The sequence below is a fragment of the Homo sapiens genome, chromosome 2 (genome assembly GCF_000001405.40).
Source record: "Homo sapiens chromosome 2, GRCh38.p14 Primary Assembly".
Lineage (NCBI taxonomy): Eukaryota > Metazoa > Chordata > Mammalia > Primates > Hominidae > Homo > Homo sapiens.
In genome coordinates this window covers 215,681,594-215,700,524 of record NC_000002.12, presented here as the reverse complement: position 1 = coordinate 215,700,524, position 18,931 = coordinate 215,681,594, and the positions used below count along the sequence as shown (strand labels likewise).

Below are 18,931 nucleotides of genomic sequence, written 5' to 3'. Positions count from 1 at the left end.
AATTGATGTCTGTTGACTGTCCTTTTCCCATGTAAATTGAGATTTCTTTTGTTTTTTCATAGACCATGTAATTTTGAATTGTATCCTTGGAATTTTAAATATTATGTTCTTAGGCCCTGGGTCTTATTTGAATCCTATAAAGAATGTCAATGTTTTTGTTTTAGCAAACAATCAGCCTGGTTAAATTCAGGCTGCAAGTTTCTACCACTCTCTTGTCAGTATGGCTTCAATGTTAGTTCTATTTGCAAAGTATTTTGAAACTTCCCTAGTTAACATAGTTTTAAAAATTCTTTTAAGCATATGGCTAAGCTGACAAGAAAATAAGGAAGTCTTTAAAAGTAAAAAAAAGCAAGAAGTCACAAGTCTAAAGAGATAAGCAATGGCAATCCTTGGTATTCTACAGATTTCAATGGGCCAAGTTTGGGGAGGAAAGAGGCAGCCGAGACCAATGTTCACACTAGGGAGAAATCAGATTGGAAAGTTTTCTCTTCTTACATAAGACCTCTGACCCTCAAAGAGCACCTTTAGTTAAAGGATGAACTAAAACAAGAGAGAACAACAATGCAAAAAAGCAAAAAGAAAAATATAGAAACTTGTACTAATGAAAACAGGAAGTGTCTTCTGAGAATTCCTAATCACAGTCTCTTAAATAGATTTGTGTGCTGAATTCACACTATATGCGTGGTCCCCAACCCCAACTTTAAAGTGGTCTTATATTGGTGCTGCCTTAAGGAGCAAGCAAATACAAATCTCTGGAAAAGTTTGTTTAAAACCCAATTCTTAAATCCTACAGACAAAGTTCTAATGAACATAAATTTATAAGGAAGATATTGATTTACTTAAGAATTTGAAGTTAAATATGCACGCTAAGTTGCATAGAGTAACCAGTAAGAGAATATAAATAGAATGTAAAGCTGCAAAATGAGCAGAGAGGAAATTTTTAAATGTAGGGAAAAATAATTTCAAAAGGTGGCAAGAAAGGAGGGAGAGAGAAAAAAAGAAATACAGGAACTATGAAGAAAGTAAAACATTTAAGAAAAAAGTGTTAAAAATTAATCCTAATTTATTAGCAGTCAACAAATAATATAAATGGGCTACATTTTCCAGTTAAAAGATAAAAGCTATTACATTGGAATAAAATTCCAGCTATATTCATTTACAAGAGGTGTACCTAAAACATAAGAACACAATAAGATGGAAAGTAAAAGAATATCAAAAGACCATTATGGTAGATGTAAAAGACATATGCAAATTATTTGACACTTTCCCTTTCAAAAGGTAGCAACCAGAGGCTGGGCACCGGGGCCCATGCCTGTGATCCCAGCACTTTGGGAGCCTGGGGCAGGTGATTGCTTGAGCCCAGAAGTTTGAGATCAACCTGGGCAACATGGTGAAAACTCTTCTCTACAAAACATACAAAAATTAGCCAGATGTGGTGGCACATGCCTGTAGTTACAGCTACTCAGGAGGCTGAGGTGGGAAGATCACTTGAGCCTGGGAGGTCGAGGCTGCAATGAGCTGTGATTGCACCACTGTGCTTCAGCCTAGGCAACAGAGCAAGACACTGTCTTAAAGAAGAAAGAAAAAAAAAAGTAGCATCTAGTTTCTCTCCCCTTGACTCTGACCGTTCTAACAAAAATTGGTGGAACTGGTAAAGTGATATCATGAAAAAGATATTCCACTTGACCATCTGTTTTGCATCACTTGCCTAAAGGAATCTAACCACCATGTCGTGAGAACACTCAAGCAGCCTGTGGAGAGGCCACTGAAACCTCTTGCCAACAACTAGCACCAACTTGCCAGTCATGTGATTGAATCATGTTAAAAGCACATGCTCTGGCTCTAATCAGGCATTCAAATGACTTTTCTCAGCCAACACCTTAACTCCAACTCCAAGCTGGAACTGCCCAGCTAAGTCTCTCCAGAATTATTAACTCACAGTGTCTGAGAGGATAATAAATGTGAATTATTGTTTTGAGCCACTACTGGTTAAGGGCAATTTGTTATGTATCAGTAAGTAATGAATATATTAGGCAAATACTATAAATATGTAGCAGGTATAACTATATAATTATCAGACAAAATAATATTACTGCCAATAAATAGCGTTAACATATAATGATAAAAGATTTTGGTTCACATGAAAGAAGTGTCAGATATAAACTTATAGGCACCGAATAACATAACTTCAAGATATATAAAGCAAAAATTTACAGAAATATAAGGAGAAATTTTAAAATCTGTTGTGGTGAGAGATTTTACCACGCCTCCACCCACAATTCATATATCAAAGAACAAAAAGTCAAAAAGATATAGAAGATTTGAAAACACAATTAATATACTTGATTTAATAAGCACTCCACCCAACAATTGGGAGAATACTCACTCCTTTTACGCATGCATAAAATAGTTACACACGTCTGACTGTATAACAGAATCGAGCAAATCTACACATTTCAGAGAATTGTTATCATAAAATCTATATGGGAATACTGAAGAATATGCAGTAATACAATACTTTTGTATGGCAGGGGAGAAGTATATTTCACTGAAAAGAGATAGTTAGGGCAATAGAGCTATAGAGGCAGAGAGACAGACAGAAAGAAAGGGACAAACAGAAAGAGAAAGAGAAATAGAGAGAGAGAGATGGAGGATGCACGAACTAGATCTACAAATTAGGCAACAATCTGCATGGCATCATTTTAGAAGTACACACATCTAATAAATGTTTTGATAAACGGCTATTCCATTCACCTGGCCCATGCCTAAAAACTTTCCCACATATTTCCTCTTTAGCACTAAAAGCATTTGTTAAAATGTCAGTGTTATCTAGGAGGATTAACCCACAGGGATAACAGCCTTTAGACTCATTTCTTTTCTGTGTGTGTGTTTTTTTCTTTTTTAATCTTTCTAACCAGGCCTTTGGCAAGACCTTGAGGGACTATATTGGGGAATAAAGAGAGAATGCCTTTGGGAAGCCGAGGTGGGCGGATCACGAGGTCAAGAGATCGAGACCATCCTGGCCAACATTGTGAAACCCCATCTCTACTAAAAATACGAAAATTAGCTGGGTGTGGTGGTGCACTCCAGTAATCCCAGCTACTCAGGAGGCTGAGGCAGGAGAATCACTTGCACCTGGGAGGCGGAGGTTGCAGTGAGATCATGTCACTGCACTCCAGCCTGGCAACAGAGACTCCATCTAAAAAAAAAAAAAAAAGGGAGAGAGAAAGCTTTAAATGAGGCAAAGAAGAGACAATTGGCAAAAGTCCAAGACATGGGATATTGCCAAACCAGAATGCAGTTCTGCAAAAAGGGCAGTGGACATCATGTGGGTAGGAGGATACAGAGAGACAGAGAGAGACGCAGCACATTTTGGTGTCTGCATGTCCCCACCTTCTTGGCAACCCAATCCTAAGTCTGAAGCTGTGTAAGTAGACTCTATACAAAGCAGAATGGCTAAACAGCAGGCTTCTCCTCTAATCACCAGCAAACCTGGCCTGTCCCAGTGGATGGATTTAACTTCATCCCTTCTTCTGCTCCTGCTAAGATAAAGTCTTCCCTGAACTATTACTTTTTCTGTAGACTTTTCCCTTCTTCACTCTTACCAGGCCCCTGGAGCTATAACTTGTTGCTCATTCTCCATTCATTGGCTTGGGGTTTAGTCCCAATTCAGAGGGTGTGTTCCAGATTGACATTATCTTTTATTGACCCCATTTTTTTCAGGACACCTTAGTGAGTTTAATTTGGGTTACCGATCACCATACTTGGAAGGGAGCCCCAGAGTTCAGTAAATTTCCCCAGGCTTGGTCTATTTGTTCTAACTTTTCCAATTTCCATGTTGGCCGTTGTTGAGACTTTATGAAACTTTGCAGCTTGTCTACCTGTAAAATATATATATATATTTTAAGAAAAGAAGAAAATGACAAATTTACCTCTTTTACTTTTACCATGTAAAGGCCAAATAATCACAAGGCCCCATGTGGCTGACTCTCAAATCAACATAACAATAAAAATAATATTGTCAAGTGAGCAAAAGGAAATAAAAATAATTTTAGTAGAATTCACACCTCTTTAAGGTCACTAAGAATCTGATTCACACTCCACAGTGACCCTTCTTTAAAAGACCTTTTTCCTTTCCTCCGTTCTTTTCCTTTTACATTCTATACTGCTTCTGAGCTTTCTATTTTCCTTTGAGAATAAAATGACTTTCTACTTCACTGATAAAAGTAACTGTGGGGGCTTGCATTTCCGCTTCCACCACCATCACCACAGCCCGATATTCAGGACCTACTAAGCCCCCAGTAGGTCCTTCACCCAGTAGGTGAAATCCCCAGTAGGATTTCACAGAAATCCCGTGTCTTCACAGAAAGAAGGCTGTGCTGCATCTGTGGAAGGCGAGTCTTCCCTCTGACAGATGTTCTCTTCAGAAATTCCTCCATGACCCTGTCAGCAAGTACTAGCATTTTTGTTTTCACATTTGTTGTGAACTAGTAACCCTAGGCAAACATTAATGTAAAACAACAATGTTTCAAGTTGTGGGAAGCAGGCTGCCATGGAGGGCATCTCGGATTTGCAGTGACTTTGAGCAGGGAAAGATCTGGAAGGAGGCAAAGCAATACATCCATCAAACCCATGGATGCCCCTAACAGAAACAGGCCACAAATATTCAACAAGCGCAGAAGAGAAGTACAAATAAGAAGACTGGAATTCATAGTCCAAAACAAGGATTAGTCTATGATAGATCCAAATGGATATATCCATGCTAAATCCATTTACCTCAAATATCCATATGGTATATCCATGCTAAACCCATTTAGCTCAAACACATTTAGCTGAAACCTCGAAAAATACAAAACTTTTTTATATTGGAAAGATATTGTATAATTTAGGCCTGAAAAGTTGCAGTAAGAGAAGTCAACGTGTTTAAAGCCAACTCCTTCTCCTGCCTCTTTATCAGTCTTCTTTATCTTTAAGCACCTTTTTTTTTTTTTTCCCAATGATGCACCCTTCTTCTCAGTCTATAAAAATGCCCAAGTCTCTTTCATCTTAAGACAAATATCCTTTGGCTCTCTTCTTTCTATTAAAATGATGCTTCTTTAAAGAGTAGTTTATACTCTTTCTTTAAAAAATTAATATTACTCTTTTTTTTTTTTTGAGACTGGTCTCAACTCAGTGAGCAAACTCAGCTCACTACAACCTCCACCTCTCGGGTTCAAGCGATTCTCATGCCTCAGCCTCCCAAGTAGCTGTGATTGCAGGTGTGCACCATCACACCTGGCTAATTTTTGTATTTTTACTAGAGACGGAGTTTCACCACGTTGGCCAGGCTGGTCTCAAACTCCTGACCTCATGTGATCCACCTGCCTCGGCCTCCCAAAGTGCTGGGATAACAGGCGTGAGCCACCATAACTGGCCTTAAAAATTAATATACTTTTAATTGAAAAATCACAATTGTATACATACATGGGATACAATGTGATGTTTTGATATATGTAAGCAATGTGAAATGATTAGATCAGGCTAATTAAAATACTCCTCACCTCACCTATCATTTTTTGTGGTGAAACATTTGAAATTTACTTAGTTATTAGTTATTCTGAAATATACATTATTACTGACTCTACAATAAATCTCAAAATTATTCCTCGTATCGATCTGAAACTTCGTATTGTTTGTCTGACAACTCTCCATTCCCTCCCTCTTCCCCTCCCATCCCCAGCCTCTGGTAATCACCATTCTACTCTCTACTTCTGAGGTCAACTTTTTTAGATGCCACGAATAAGTGAGAACATGTGGTATTTGTCTTCCTGTGCCTGACTTATTTTACTCAGCACAATGCCCCCCAGGTTCATCCATGTTGCCACAAATGAAAGGATTTTTTTTTTCAAGGCTGGGTAGTATTCTATTGTGTATATATCCATTCGTCAGTTGATGAACATCGAGGTTGATTCCAAAACTTGGCTATTGTGAATAGTGTTGCAATGGACATGGAAGTGAAGATATCCCTTCAACATACCAATTTCAATTCTTTTGGATATATACTCAGAAGTAGGATTGCTGAATCAATAGATTACTGGATCTATTTTTAGTTTTTTGTGGAACCTATATACTATTTTTCACAATATCCGACACTTTCCTTTTCTCCACATCCTCATCAATGCTTATAGTTCTTCTTTTTGATAAAAGTCATTCTAACAAGTGTGAGGTAATATCTCATTGTGGTTTTAATTTATATTTTTAGTGTTCACTATTCACTCCTCCATTTATTGCAGCTATTTGCAGCTTTGCAAAATTCACCAGGGAAATCCTTATCATTTGGCACCATGGACACAACTCACTATTTATCTTACAGTGCCCCTCACTTTGATTTATTTGACTTGTCAACTACTTTGTCCTTCTTGGTACCCTACTCCCTAGATGTCTAGGATATTGCCTCCTCTCTCAATCTTTCCAGCTTGGTCTCCTCTGTGGATTTTCCTTTCTTTGCCCATATTGATGATATGAAGTTCCCCTCCTAGAGTTGCTGCTTATATTATGCTATTATTCCATGCACTTTCCCTGGCCTTACTTCTCCATACTTGGGCTAACTGCTATCTCCCTATATTTGTCAGAGTGATCTTTTAAAAATATGAGTTTCAACGTATTTCTCTGCTGCTTAATCTCATCATTCATTCCTTGCTAAGTACAGGAAAGGCTGAAAATTCCTTAACAGGACTTATAAGGTCCTCTTTGCTCTTGAAGCAAGCTGTTTTTTTTTTCTTTTTTTTTTTTTTGAATGTTTATTCAGTGAGTGAATGGATGACTCACAAATCTGTGGCTCTGGCCCTGAACTTTTCCTTGAATTTTAAATTTGCAGACCCAGAGGTCTGCAAACAGCTCCCAACAGCTCCCAGACCCAAACAGTTCCAGTTGGATGTTTCACAGACCTCCCTCAAACCCACAATACTCCAAAATGAATTTATCTCAGCCCCACCTGCTCCTTTTTCTGTATTATCCAAGTTACCACCATCAGAGAAACCTGATAATTATTCTTTACATTTGCTCGTTCCCTATATTCACTGTATCATACTGATTCCCCTCCCAAATGCTCCTTCAATTTGTTCCCACCTTTCAGCACCATAATTTATATCCTTGTCTTTTTTCACCTAAATGATTGCAATAGTCCCCAGCTGATTGCCTTAATTCCAATCTTGCCTTCCCCCAACTTCACATCCTCCACGCTATCACCAAAGGAATCTATCTAAAAACCTTTAAATTTCCTCATTTAAAAATCTTTCAGCAGTCTCTTATCCCTAGAATAAAATGCAAGCTTCATTGCACAACATAAAAGTCATCTACAATCTGACTCTTCTTTATAAATCCAAACTCATCTATTTTCTGCCTCAAAGCTCAATAACACACAATGGCTTGTGATTATCTGGACATACCATACTGTTTCATAGGCTGGAACATTTGCTCATGTTATTCTCTGTTCTGGGCCTGACTTCTACCTCTTCTTCATCTATTGAACTGGACACAATCTTGTATTGGGAGCTGCACCTTTACCAGGAAGCCTTCTCTGATCATCTAGGTATGGCTAAGTGTTCATATTTATTCTGTTCCAGAAGGCAGATTGGCTAAGTAGTTGATGTTCAAACTGTTTAGGCGCTTAGCCCAGAATCACAGCTTACCAGCTATACAACTTTGGGCAAGTTACATAATTAATCTCTCTCTGCCTCAGAAAGTACTCAATAAATGTTAGCTACCACAATTATAATATTATCACTAGGAGCCTTACTTTCCAGTGTAAATGCACAGCCTACCTCATGTACCAGGAATCTCTGAGAGGAGTTTAGAAGGACTTTACTCTTCTGGATTGATTACTATCTTCAAAAGCAACAAAGAAATATTTGAATGAAGAAGGAATGTGAACTACTCTTCTCATTCTGGCAACCATCTTCTTAGCTAAGTTTTCTGAGGGCTGGGGGGAGGTGGATGCATGGACTCATTCTTCCCTCCTTTTTACATTATTTTCCTTCAGTGTGTTTATCCATGGGGAAAGCTGGTGATGTCATATGTTTATGTGACCTGAAATGTTACTCACCCTATATAACATCATTATTTGGGCTTTTAATTTAAAATGACCAGAAGAATGAGTTAAAACACAGAACTATTCTATGCCAAGACCAAAGATTTTAAAAATATCCAACAGCGATATAAATTTGATTTGTTTTAGCAATTTAATTCGAGGTAATTCTTTTCTTTTCCTGAAGTGTTTTTCCATCTTCCATGTTTCAAATTCTCCACAAAATAAATCCTTCAGTAGAAATGACAGAAACAAACCTGAGACTTTATGAGCAAGCCATAAGAAAGGCAGAACCATTGGCAATAGGACCCAGAAACTAAAACACCCATTCTGTCTTTGTATCCTGCCCTTGCCAGTATAAAATTAGTGTGCAGAGAGTATTTTCCAGATCCTTTTTCTTTTTTACAGATCCAGTTTAATGACCCAAATTATAAGATTTGGATAACTTTCTTTGGCTGCTCTTTTCAGAATATAGTTGACTTCACCATTAGGCAACATCTCCTGATATTTAAACTAATTGTTTTGTTTTGTCAGCTTCATCTCACTTTTCTGGGTCACATTGTACTGATTTAATTCTAACTAGGTATTTGAGCTCTTAAGTTTGAAAACTCCTCAATCACATTATATGCCCACGTATAAAGTCTCTTGTTTTAAGTCTGATGGTACTATGTTAAATCATGACAATTTGACGTGTTTGGGAATGGGCGGCTTCGGATAGCTGGCCCTTTTAGCATAAATCTTTCTGCATTTGTATGTTTATGTCACACATTTTGTGTAACAGTCATTCTACAGTGTGGTAGGTACATGCTGCCCTAACTCATTTTTTTAAATTGTGATAAAATTCACATAACACAGAATTAACCATATTAAAGTGTACAATTAAGTGGCATTCAATATGTTCATGATGTTGCACAATCATCACCTGTATCTAGTTCCAAAACATATTCATCACCCCCAAAGGAAACCCTCTATCCATTAGCCAGTCATGGCCATTCTCCTCTCCCCTCTGCCCCTGGCACCCTCTAATCTGCTTTCTGTTTGTTTGGGCTTACCTGTTCTGGATATTGCATGCTGCCCTAACATTATCATCTCAAACAGTACAAATGCCTTATTTTTGGTTAGTGCTATGCAGATTTCTAGGATTTTCCTGTGGATCACCTCATTCTTTATGAATATTTGAGATATTGCTATTACTAGATAAATCCGTGTTCTAATTCTCTATTAGAAAGGCAAGTTCAGGGCTGGGTGCAGTGGCTCACGCCACCAGCACATTGGGAGGCCAAGGCGGGCAGATCACAAGGTCAGGAGACAAGACCAGCCTGGCCAACACGGTGAAACCCTGTCTCTACTAAAATACAAAAAATTAGCCAGGCGTGATGGCACGTGCCTGTAATCCCAGTTACTTGGGAGGCTGAGGCAGGGGAATCACTTGAACCCGAGAGGTGGAGGTTGCAGTGAGCCGAGATTGCACCACTGCACTCCAACCTGGGTGACAGAGCAAGACTCCATCTCAAAAAAAAAAAAAAAAGGGCAAGTTCAGATTTTATTACGTTGGTTGTTAAAGATCTGATTTCTTTAAAGATATCATTTATGCATCCACAAAAACAGAGGTCCAGCGATTTTGGTTAACTTATCAGGTCAATCTGTGCCTTTCTCTGCACATCCCTGTGATCAGCAGGTGTCTGAGATTTTTAGTTGTTTGAAGATGCAGGTGTGTCTACTGACCCTACCTATGCAGCTTGACTCAACATTCCATCAAAAGAATGCCAACCCCTGTGTATTGACTAGGTATGTTAATGCTGATTCTTCATTCCACCAAGGCCAAGTGAATCTTGGAGTAAAGATTTTTTTTTTATTTCCATTTATTTGCTTGGAAGAATGATATGCAGACACTGCTAGTTGTCATTCTGTGCTTGTTCTCCTTTTCTATATATTATGTAACTCATGATTTTTTTGCTGATTACAGTGACCACCTTAAATATTCTATTTGCCAGCCTTCTTTCCAGCTGATTGTGGCCAGTTACTAAGTTCTAACCAGTCTGGCCAATGAGATGCTTATGAAAGCATCCTATTCAACTTACGAAAGTATCCTTACAGGGGAGAACACGCCTCATTTTGGTTCTTTGTTCTTCTAGCTGGAAGGTGGACTCTATACCTGGAGACCCAGCAGCCATTTTGAATATGAAGCAATCTTTGAAATGGGAAGCTGGGTTCCCAGTTAGAAGGAATCTTCATCCCTGACACCCAGAGCTACATACCACTTCTAGACTTTCATATGACAAGGAAATGTTTTAATCCTGTGTAAGTGACTATGTTGGGTTTTCTGTCATGTGCAGCCAAACCTAGTCTTAACTAATACAATTCCCAATATAAGCATATTCCACTGAAACCTTGAAGTCTTTCTCACATTCCATCTGGATTTGCCCCATTCTCTAAGGAAAGGATCTTATTATACACGAATGTTGTCATACAGTGCATGCAATGTCCATCCAGCCTTTGAAGATATTCCTATTTCCATTAAAAATCTTTGTGTCTTATTAGTATTAGTATTAATCTTATTTTCCAGAAGTAGGATCCTAGAGAAAAGAAAGATATAATTTCAAAAAGACCCCAGAAGTTATCCAATCTCATTGCCAATCTGACGATGCTAAAACCTTGGCATCTCACATGAAAGCTGTGAAACTAGTATTGTTTCCAAAATTCTTCCATCTCTATTGTTATTGCCATTACAATCATTCACAAAGTAATTAGATGTCAGGATAGTTTGTTTTTTAAAGTGGCGTGGGTATCTCACATGGAACAAAAACTCTGAAAAGAAGAAAATGACATTATTATAATTAATGCAGTTTTTAAGACTGTGTTTTAAGACAAATATTTCAAAGCACAAAGCATAATGGAAGAATGTGTTAGAAGTTAATAGACTGTGAACACTGATCTTGAGTCCCTCTGGACTTTTAACCACTTACGTGATTTTTGAAAGCCATTAAAAATATAGTATTAAATAGAGGTTGTCATCTTCCTTATACTTTTAAAGAAAACAGAAGGCAGAGCTAATTGGAATTGAGTTTAATGGAAGAGTTGAATGAAACTCAATGAAAGATCAGCAGCTTGGGAGGCCGAGACAGGAGGATCCCTTGAGCTAAGGAGTTTGGGACCAGCCTGGACAACACAGAGAGGCCCTGTCTCTTCAAAAAATCAAAAAATTAGCCAGGTGCAGTGGTGCATGTCTGTAGTCCCAGCTACTCAGAGGCTGAGGCAGGAGGGTCCCTTGAGCTAAGGAGTTTGGGACCAGCCTGGACAACACAGAGAGGCCCTGTCTCTTCAAAAAATCAAAAAATTAGCCAGGTGCAGTGGTGCATGTCTGTAGTCCCAGCTACTCAGAGGCTGAGGCAGGAGGATCACTTGAGCCTGGGAGGCCAAAGCTGCCACCATGGTCATGCCACTACACTCCAGCCTAGCTGACAGAGGGAGATCCTTTCTCAAAAGCAAAAAAAAAAAAAAGAAAGAAAGAGCAGCTGAATTGATTCCCAACTTCATCTTACTTCATCTTGGTACTAACAGTCATAAAAGCTTAGAAGAAACATACATAGCCAAGCCACTCACTAGAAAGGCAATGAAAATTATTTTCCTTTCTGATAAAAGTTTCATGTAATGATTTCACTGTGAGAATAGTTCCATATTTCATTATTCTATAAACAAGCCAACTCCCTCTATTTGTTTTGTACAGGGATGGGTTATGCACACATACACACACACACACACACACTCACACACATACACATATTATATGTAATATAAATATATTTACATGAGTATTTGTAGCTTCTGTCTTTTCTAAATGATAGAGATTCTGTATTTCCTTACTTGTTGGGCCCATGAGACTGTCTTATGAGTTTGGGAATCATAGCTGGATAGACATCGAAAGAACAGACAACTACCATTGGTGGTGTGTGCCTGTAATCCCAGCTACTCCGGAGTCTGAGGCAGGAGAATTACTTGAACCTGGCAGGCAGAGGTTGCAGTGAGCGAAGATCACGCCACTGCACGCCAGCATGGATGACAGAGCAAGACTCTGTTTCAAAGAAAAAAAGAAAGAGAGAGAGAGAGAGAGAGAAGAAAACATCTTTTAAGGTTGGGAATCATAGCTGGATAGACATCAAAAGAACAGACAACTACTGTGAGAAGAAAACAAATACATTGGTAAGGTGGAAGGGATGAGAGAAATTGAAAATACAAGCACTGAGTTGGAGGCTGAGTTCTAGGGGAGTTTCAAAGGACAGGAACTGCTGGGGGACACGGCTACATATGGGTGGCAGCGCTAGTGGCAAATGGACAACAGAGGTTTCTAGTCTGCATTGTGAACATAATTTTCCTCCTGGAATTTTTAAGGAAAGTGAAAGAAAAATTTACACTGTTTTTAGTTATTGTTGGATGTTAGGCTGATGTTTTCTGAATGTAGCACTGAGTTTGGACTGGACTATTTAATACATTTTAATGTATACATTCCTACTTGCCTCAAGGATGTATTGGTGATCTTTTGGGATCAGAGTTACATTTTGCTGGTTAGAATTAAATCTGAGCTCTTCTTCCTCCTCATCAATTTTCAAAAACCAAACTGCCGAGTTAGCTTTATCGACACCAACCTGAGCACTAGGGAGGTTGATTTAAACTATCTTGTAGTAATTAGAAGTGAGTTTTTGTCAAAAGGAATAAAAATAGATGAGTAAGATAATAATGGAGGTCCTGTCTAACAAAGACTTGGAGGTAAATAAATACTAAAAGCAATTTTCATGAATAGAATGAATGGACATTTCTGGTTCCTTTTTATCTTTTCCTCCTTTTCTCCCTCCAACAAAATCCATTTCAGAAGTGAGCACTGAAAGGAGTGGTTGATCTTTAAGTTAGCCCACATGACTTATGTAACAAAACACAGGCCACCAACCATCTAATGGGATTTTCCTTAATCTTTTAAAACAAATGCTTTTTAGATAAAGCTTCTAGATTTCAGTTACTGTGTGTTAGCTAAAAAAAACTGGAAATTGCTGTAGCATAGAGGAAGAGAGGACCTGGTCTCTAGTTAAGTGATAGATAATTCTTCTTGTACAATTAAGTGTCTTTCTTTCTTTTTTCTTCCTTCCTTTCTTCTTTCTCTTTTTCTTCCTTCCCTCCTGTTTTTTCTTCCTTTCTCTCTCCCTTCTTTTCCTTTATGTTTTCTTGTTTCACCTTTTCCCCTCAAATTGTAACTAAATTATCCTATCAGAAATTAGATTTTTTAAAAAAGAAATAGTTGCTGTTTGAATCTCTGGTCTATGTTTGGACAGTGCCATTGATAGAGAAAATCTGCTTTAGACATATGCTTTAAATTTTTGAATATTCTAGAGTCCTTGTCAAGGGCAGTTTTGACTCTGTCCCTTCCCTCATTCTCCCAGAGGACATTTGGCTATGTCTTGAGGCCATACTGGGTTGTCATGACTGAAATGGGGAGATGCTCCTGGCACCTGCTGAGTAGAGGCTGCTAAACATCTGCAATGCACAGAAAAGCACCCCCATAACAAAAAGTTATTCAGCCCAAAATGCCAGTGGTGCTGAGGTTACAAAACTGTTGGCCGGGTGCGGTGGCTCACGCCTGTAATCCCAGCACTTTGGGAGGCCGAGGCGGGCAGATCACCTAAGGTTGGAAGTTCGAGACCAGCCTGACCAACATGGTTTGAAACCCTGTCTCTACTAAAAATGCAAAATTTTCTGGGCGTGGTGGTGCATGCCTGTAATCCCAGCCACTCGGGAGGCTGAGGCAGGAGAATCGCTTGAAACTGGGAGGCGGAGGTTGCAGTGAGCTGAGATGGTGCCACTGCAACAAGAGTGAAACTCCATCTCAAAAAAAAAAAAAAAAACGAAGAAGAAACTGTTTCAGAGATTTCTTTAAGTATTCCTGGATCTTCACCTTAGGCACAGAAGTTACAAAGTGAATTAGGAAGTTTAAATAAACATGATAGCTAACGTTGAGTTCTTGCTATACTGCAGGCATTGTTCTAATACTTGTAGTTCTCATAATATTTCCATGCAGTAGAAACAAGTAGCTCCATTTTACAGATGAGAAAACTAAGAAACAAAAGTTAAGTAACTGGCCAAACAACATGTAGGTATTAAGAATTGTAGCCTTAATTCTTGATTCTTGAAGAAGCACAAAGGGGTGGGTTTGGAGCGTAGAGTTTGTTTGAGTTGCCACCTCTACTTCCGAAATTCATTGACTCATGTGAACAAAATTACCTTTTTATCCATTGTATTTGTGGAAATATTCAAAGTTATATACTTCGGTATTTATGTTGAACACACAATTCTGACTACTGTTAATTCAGTGATACATAATACTTGTGAATAATTTAGGCTTCGGGGAAAAAAATCAATGCAAATATTTTTTTCCAAACCCTGAAATATTCAACATGAAAGATGGAAATGATTATGAATTATGACTTCTTCTCTATTGTTACAATTAATAGTTTTTATATTTATACTGAAGCCACGATGCTTTCTTACTGCTCTCATTAATTTTAAGACTTATGGAGAAAAAAACCCTCAAGTTGGAGGGACAATTTCTTGTTTTCATCATTTCCCTCTAAGAGGCCAACAGGATTATTGCTCAGTGGTTGTGTGGGCAGCTTAGGTCATAGGGCAAGGTCCCTCACAGGGAAAGGCAAGCCCATTATTTTTGGCCCAGTGTCTAAGAATATGGATCTTGAAGAGCTCAACATAAGAAAAACATCATTCAGGGTGTTTTCAGGGAAACAGATCAAGCTGAGGGATATAGGCCTTGTTCTCAGAAAGACTGCTTTGACTGTTTTGATGTTTCCAAGTTGAGTCTATTGTTTTCCTGTGTGATTTTCCTTGGAAAAAAGAAATGATTTCCATGGAGATGGAGAAGTTGGATGAGTGGATGAGCAATTGACAAATAGATGGGATGTGAATGCCACAAAAACAAATCTGGTTGTAATTAATTCCTGAGAATTCTAGAAAGCAGCTACAGCTATCATCAATGTGAAACTCTGGACTAAAAGCTCTGACACCAGATCCTCCTGTTTCCTTTAAAAAAGTCAACTCACATTTCTCTGATTCTCTTTGATTCATTTCTGCTGAAAAAGACCCAGAATTTGATATAAAACAAAGACACTTGTCCCTGAATCAGCACTATGAAACCTGAATAAATACAAAATACAGCTGATTCACTTTCTCTCAGTCACATTAAAAAAAAAAGTAAAATCCAACTGGTGTGCTCTTCCACCCAAATGTGTCATATTCAATCCTTAAACTAAAAGGTGAAAAATGTAATTCACAGTCCACCAGCTTTCTTAATCACAGCCCCACCACTCCACATGGATATAAAAACTGATAAAAGCCAACAACCAGAAACTATCTGCAGATGTTTAACTTCATTGTATTCAGGTTAGTCATTTGCCAACAAAGTCAGATTGTCCACATTGCTATCTGCTTCCAATTCCCTGCCCTGCCCCAGTATCTCTTAAGTTCTCTTAGGAAAAGCAGTAAAGATGTCTCCCTGACACTAGGAGGGTGAACATAATCGCCTGAGAGGCCGACTATCACTAGCTTAACCTCAGGAAGGATTACAATGCACTTCACTCAGTTCATCTCTCTCTCCCTTTTAACTGAATTGTTAACTTGTTCATGTTTCTAGTGTTGGGGCTCAGAAACTGATACTCTAAGATATGGCACTTTGACATGCTGAACTGAAGGAGCCTCAAGGTCTCCCTGACCTTCTCCCCTTCCTATCTCCCAAAGCACAGGATAAATTTGTTCTCTGATGTTTCCTTATCTGCCGAAAAGTCTGGACCCATCAAAGAAGAAGACAATTACCCTAAGTTTTCCCTGAGTTTCCATTAACTCATCTCCTATCGCAGGAAGGAAGACTGAAATCTGTCAACACACCTGGACAGACTTTTGTCACAAACCATTGTCCACTCTGCAGGCCCAACAGACTTTGTCTCTGGCCATTGTATGTTCTTCAAGCCCAGTGAATTCCCCTAAAAATTGTTTTCTGTCCCTATAAAGTCACCTATACATCTCCATTTCCTTTTCCCCTAAGATGTAGGGTATATAAACACCTCTACCCCACGGGGTATGAGGCAATCACTCTGTGATTCTCCCTCGTGGATGCTAGTAATTTGTATGCCATTTCTCCTACTGATCTGCCTTTTGCCAGTTGATTTTCAGTGAACCTTCAGAGAGTGGAAGAGAAGTTTTCCTTTGGCCCCTATGCTAGGCATATTTAAAAAATTGCAGCGAATTCAACTAGTCATTATCCCAGAGCACTAAACTCAGCTAACCTGGAGGGCATGGAGTGGTAAATAAAGAACTTGAAAGAGGAAGAAGAAATCACACTAACATATCTGGTGTTCATTAATTTAAGGAACCATTGAACAGTGTGAACTGCATCATTCTTATCATCACCTCTTTTGTAGGTGTCATAGGCAACTCTGTAGGTAAGTTTCTCTAATCACATAAAAAGGAAATTGAACTATATTTGTGTTTTATGCATTAACCTTTTGTAAGGTTTATATATGAGCCAACCCATTTTTTTTTTAAACAAGAGTTAACTCACCTCACAAATAAACTTTTTTCTTGTGCCTAAGATTTCCTTAAAAGTACATAAGATATTGAATATTGAGTGGTTAGAACAGTAATGCCATTGTGCTGAGAAAGAGAAGAATGGCAGAGGGTGGGGCAGTGCTAAAGGAGAATTTACTGATTTTTTAATATTTAGAGCTTTTAAACTAAAGACACATTGTTTAAAATTTGCAAATCGATTTGAAATGCATTTAAGAAGAAGCCCTTTGAACATAGATGATGGTTTGGTTGTTCAGCTGTGTTCTGGAAATGCTTCTTCCCATTTCTGCCAGTCCAGACAACAGGTTTGCCTGGATTCTGCATATCCCTCTCTGCTCTCCCTGACAGGCCACAGAAGGGTCTAACTCAGAGCTGGCTTTACCTGATCAGTTCTGAGATTGTCAGGGTGTACCTGGCGAAGGCTACAGGATTTCCCACAAAGCTGGAACTTGTCTTCTATCCACACGTGATTTAACTGATTCCCACATGACCTTCTTCCCCTCTAAAAAAAGGAAGACAAAGGAAGCAAAAGGGCGAGGTGTTAGATCACCTCATGGAGCAGTGACTTTTATATGTCTTGATGATTGTTGTTATATCGTCAGTAGCAAGGTCAGTGCCTAGTACACCACAGGGACCTCATAAAAATTTGTAAAATAAAAATCAATGTAATCCTTACAATAATACTGGGAGAAATGAATTAACCCCAACTTACTAAAGAAGTTCCAGTTAGTGGAAAAAATGAGATTTGAACGTAGGCCTAGATCTTTCTACTACATTACATGTCTTATTAGAAACCCCTCCTCATCCCCCACCAAATTCAAGTTATTTCAAGAGATCTATTGAATATAGAGTTGTTCGTTTCTTTTCTTTTCTTTTCTTTTCTTTTTTTTCTTTTCTTTTCTTTTCTTTTCTTTTCTTTTCTTTTCTTTTCTTTTCTTTTTGAGACGGAGTCTTACTCTGTTGCCCAGGCTAGAGTGCAGTGGCACGATCTCCACTCACTGCAACCTCCGTCTCCCGGGTTCCAGTGATTCTCCTGCCTCAGCCTCCCAAGTAGCTGGGATTATAGGCACCTACCACCGCACTCCACTAATTTTTGTATTTTTAGTAGAGGCGGGGTTTCACCATGTTGGCCAGGCTAGTCTCAAACTCCTGACCTCGTGATCCACCTGCCTCGGCCTCCCAATGTGCTGGGATTACAGGCGTTAAGCCACTACACACGGCCAATTGAATATAGTTTTTCTATGCCACAGATTAAGTGATCTCTAGGCAAAAATGTGCAGATAATCCACCACAGACTAAAGTGGCCAACCAAATAACTTGGGTTTTAATAGACACTTTAGAAAGCCTCCTGCTCAACTTCCCACCCGATGAGGAAGCAAATGTATATTAGGACTTTACACAATGCCTGGCACACAGTTAAGTGCTTAAGAAATATTCATTCTTCACAATGCAAGGAGCTCGTGGTAGACTGTGGTCTCAGCCTTGGCCAGAGCACTTTCACTTACTATGTTACAACTTTGTACGGTGTTCTGTTCTAAGAAGGAATAGTTCTCCCTTGAAATGTAAACACCATGAAATCAGGGACTTTGTTCTATTCAATAATGTATTCCTAGTGCTAGAGGAGGATCTTAAACATGGCAGATGCTAAAAAAAATCTGTATTTTAAATGTATGGATAAATGAATAAACCATTGTTGGAAAGGTATTAGAAACAGTACCTTATTAGAAACAGTAGTTCTCAAGAAATGGATTGGGAATTCAGAGGAAGAGCTGGTACCCTATCATGGCAGGTGGCCCCTAGAAGAGTCATTTGAAGTCATGTGACCCTCTGGTAGATGAATGGTTCCCAAGCTGTGGTGTGGGTCCTCCATGACAGCAGCCTTGGTCTGGTCCAAATGACATGTGTAGGATGAGCTTACACCTGCACAAAATTTATGGACAGCATAAGGAAAGGTAAGCCAATGTTGGAAATGCACCAATCACATTTTGAAAAGATAAGATGGTTTGTGGTGTCCGTCCTCTTCCTCTTCCTTTGTCTCTCATTCCCATTCTGCAGAGATCCTTGATTTGTAGCCAATCAATCCTTATCTCTGCAGCATGAATTTGTACAAAATCAGGTCATCAAGGAATCCAGAAAATGAAAATTAAGAAGAAAATTGTATGCCAACTGACCTTGTGCCCAGATGGGGGATAATATTTGTGGCAGCTAATTTTTAAATGAGGAAACAAAAATGAAGTAGAAAAAAATTTA

General features: G+C 38.8%; 2 long non-coding RNA genes across 5 annotated transcripts in view; one reads left to right on the top strand and one right to left on the bottom strand.

Moving 5' to 3' along the window:
- The window catches only part of LOC102724861 (uncharacterized), a 168,179-nt gene that overhangs the window by 13,862 nt on the left and 135,386 nt on the right, over positions 1–18,931 (bottom strand). The window contains exons 6-7 of one of the 4 annotated variants that reach the window (NR_187737.1): positions 18,399–18,601; positions 17,064–17,183 (exon numbers count right to left, since the gene is read on the bottom strand). This is a non-coding gene — a long non-coding RNA (uncharacterized LOC102724861). Of the gene's footprint in view, positions 1–8,196; positions 10,874–13,897; positions 17,184–18,398; positions 18,602–18,931 lie in introns of those variants that run through there. The other 3 variants (NR_187735.1, NR_187734.1, NR_187736.1) reach the window with 3 other exon arrangements.
- Positions 1–18,931, top strand: part of LINC00607 (long intergenic non-protein coding RNA 607) — a 231,974-nt gene that overhangs the window by 143,012 nt on the left and 70,031 nt on the right. The window lies entirely within an intron of this gene.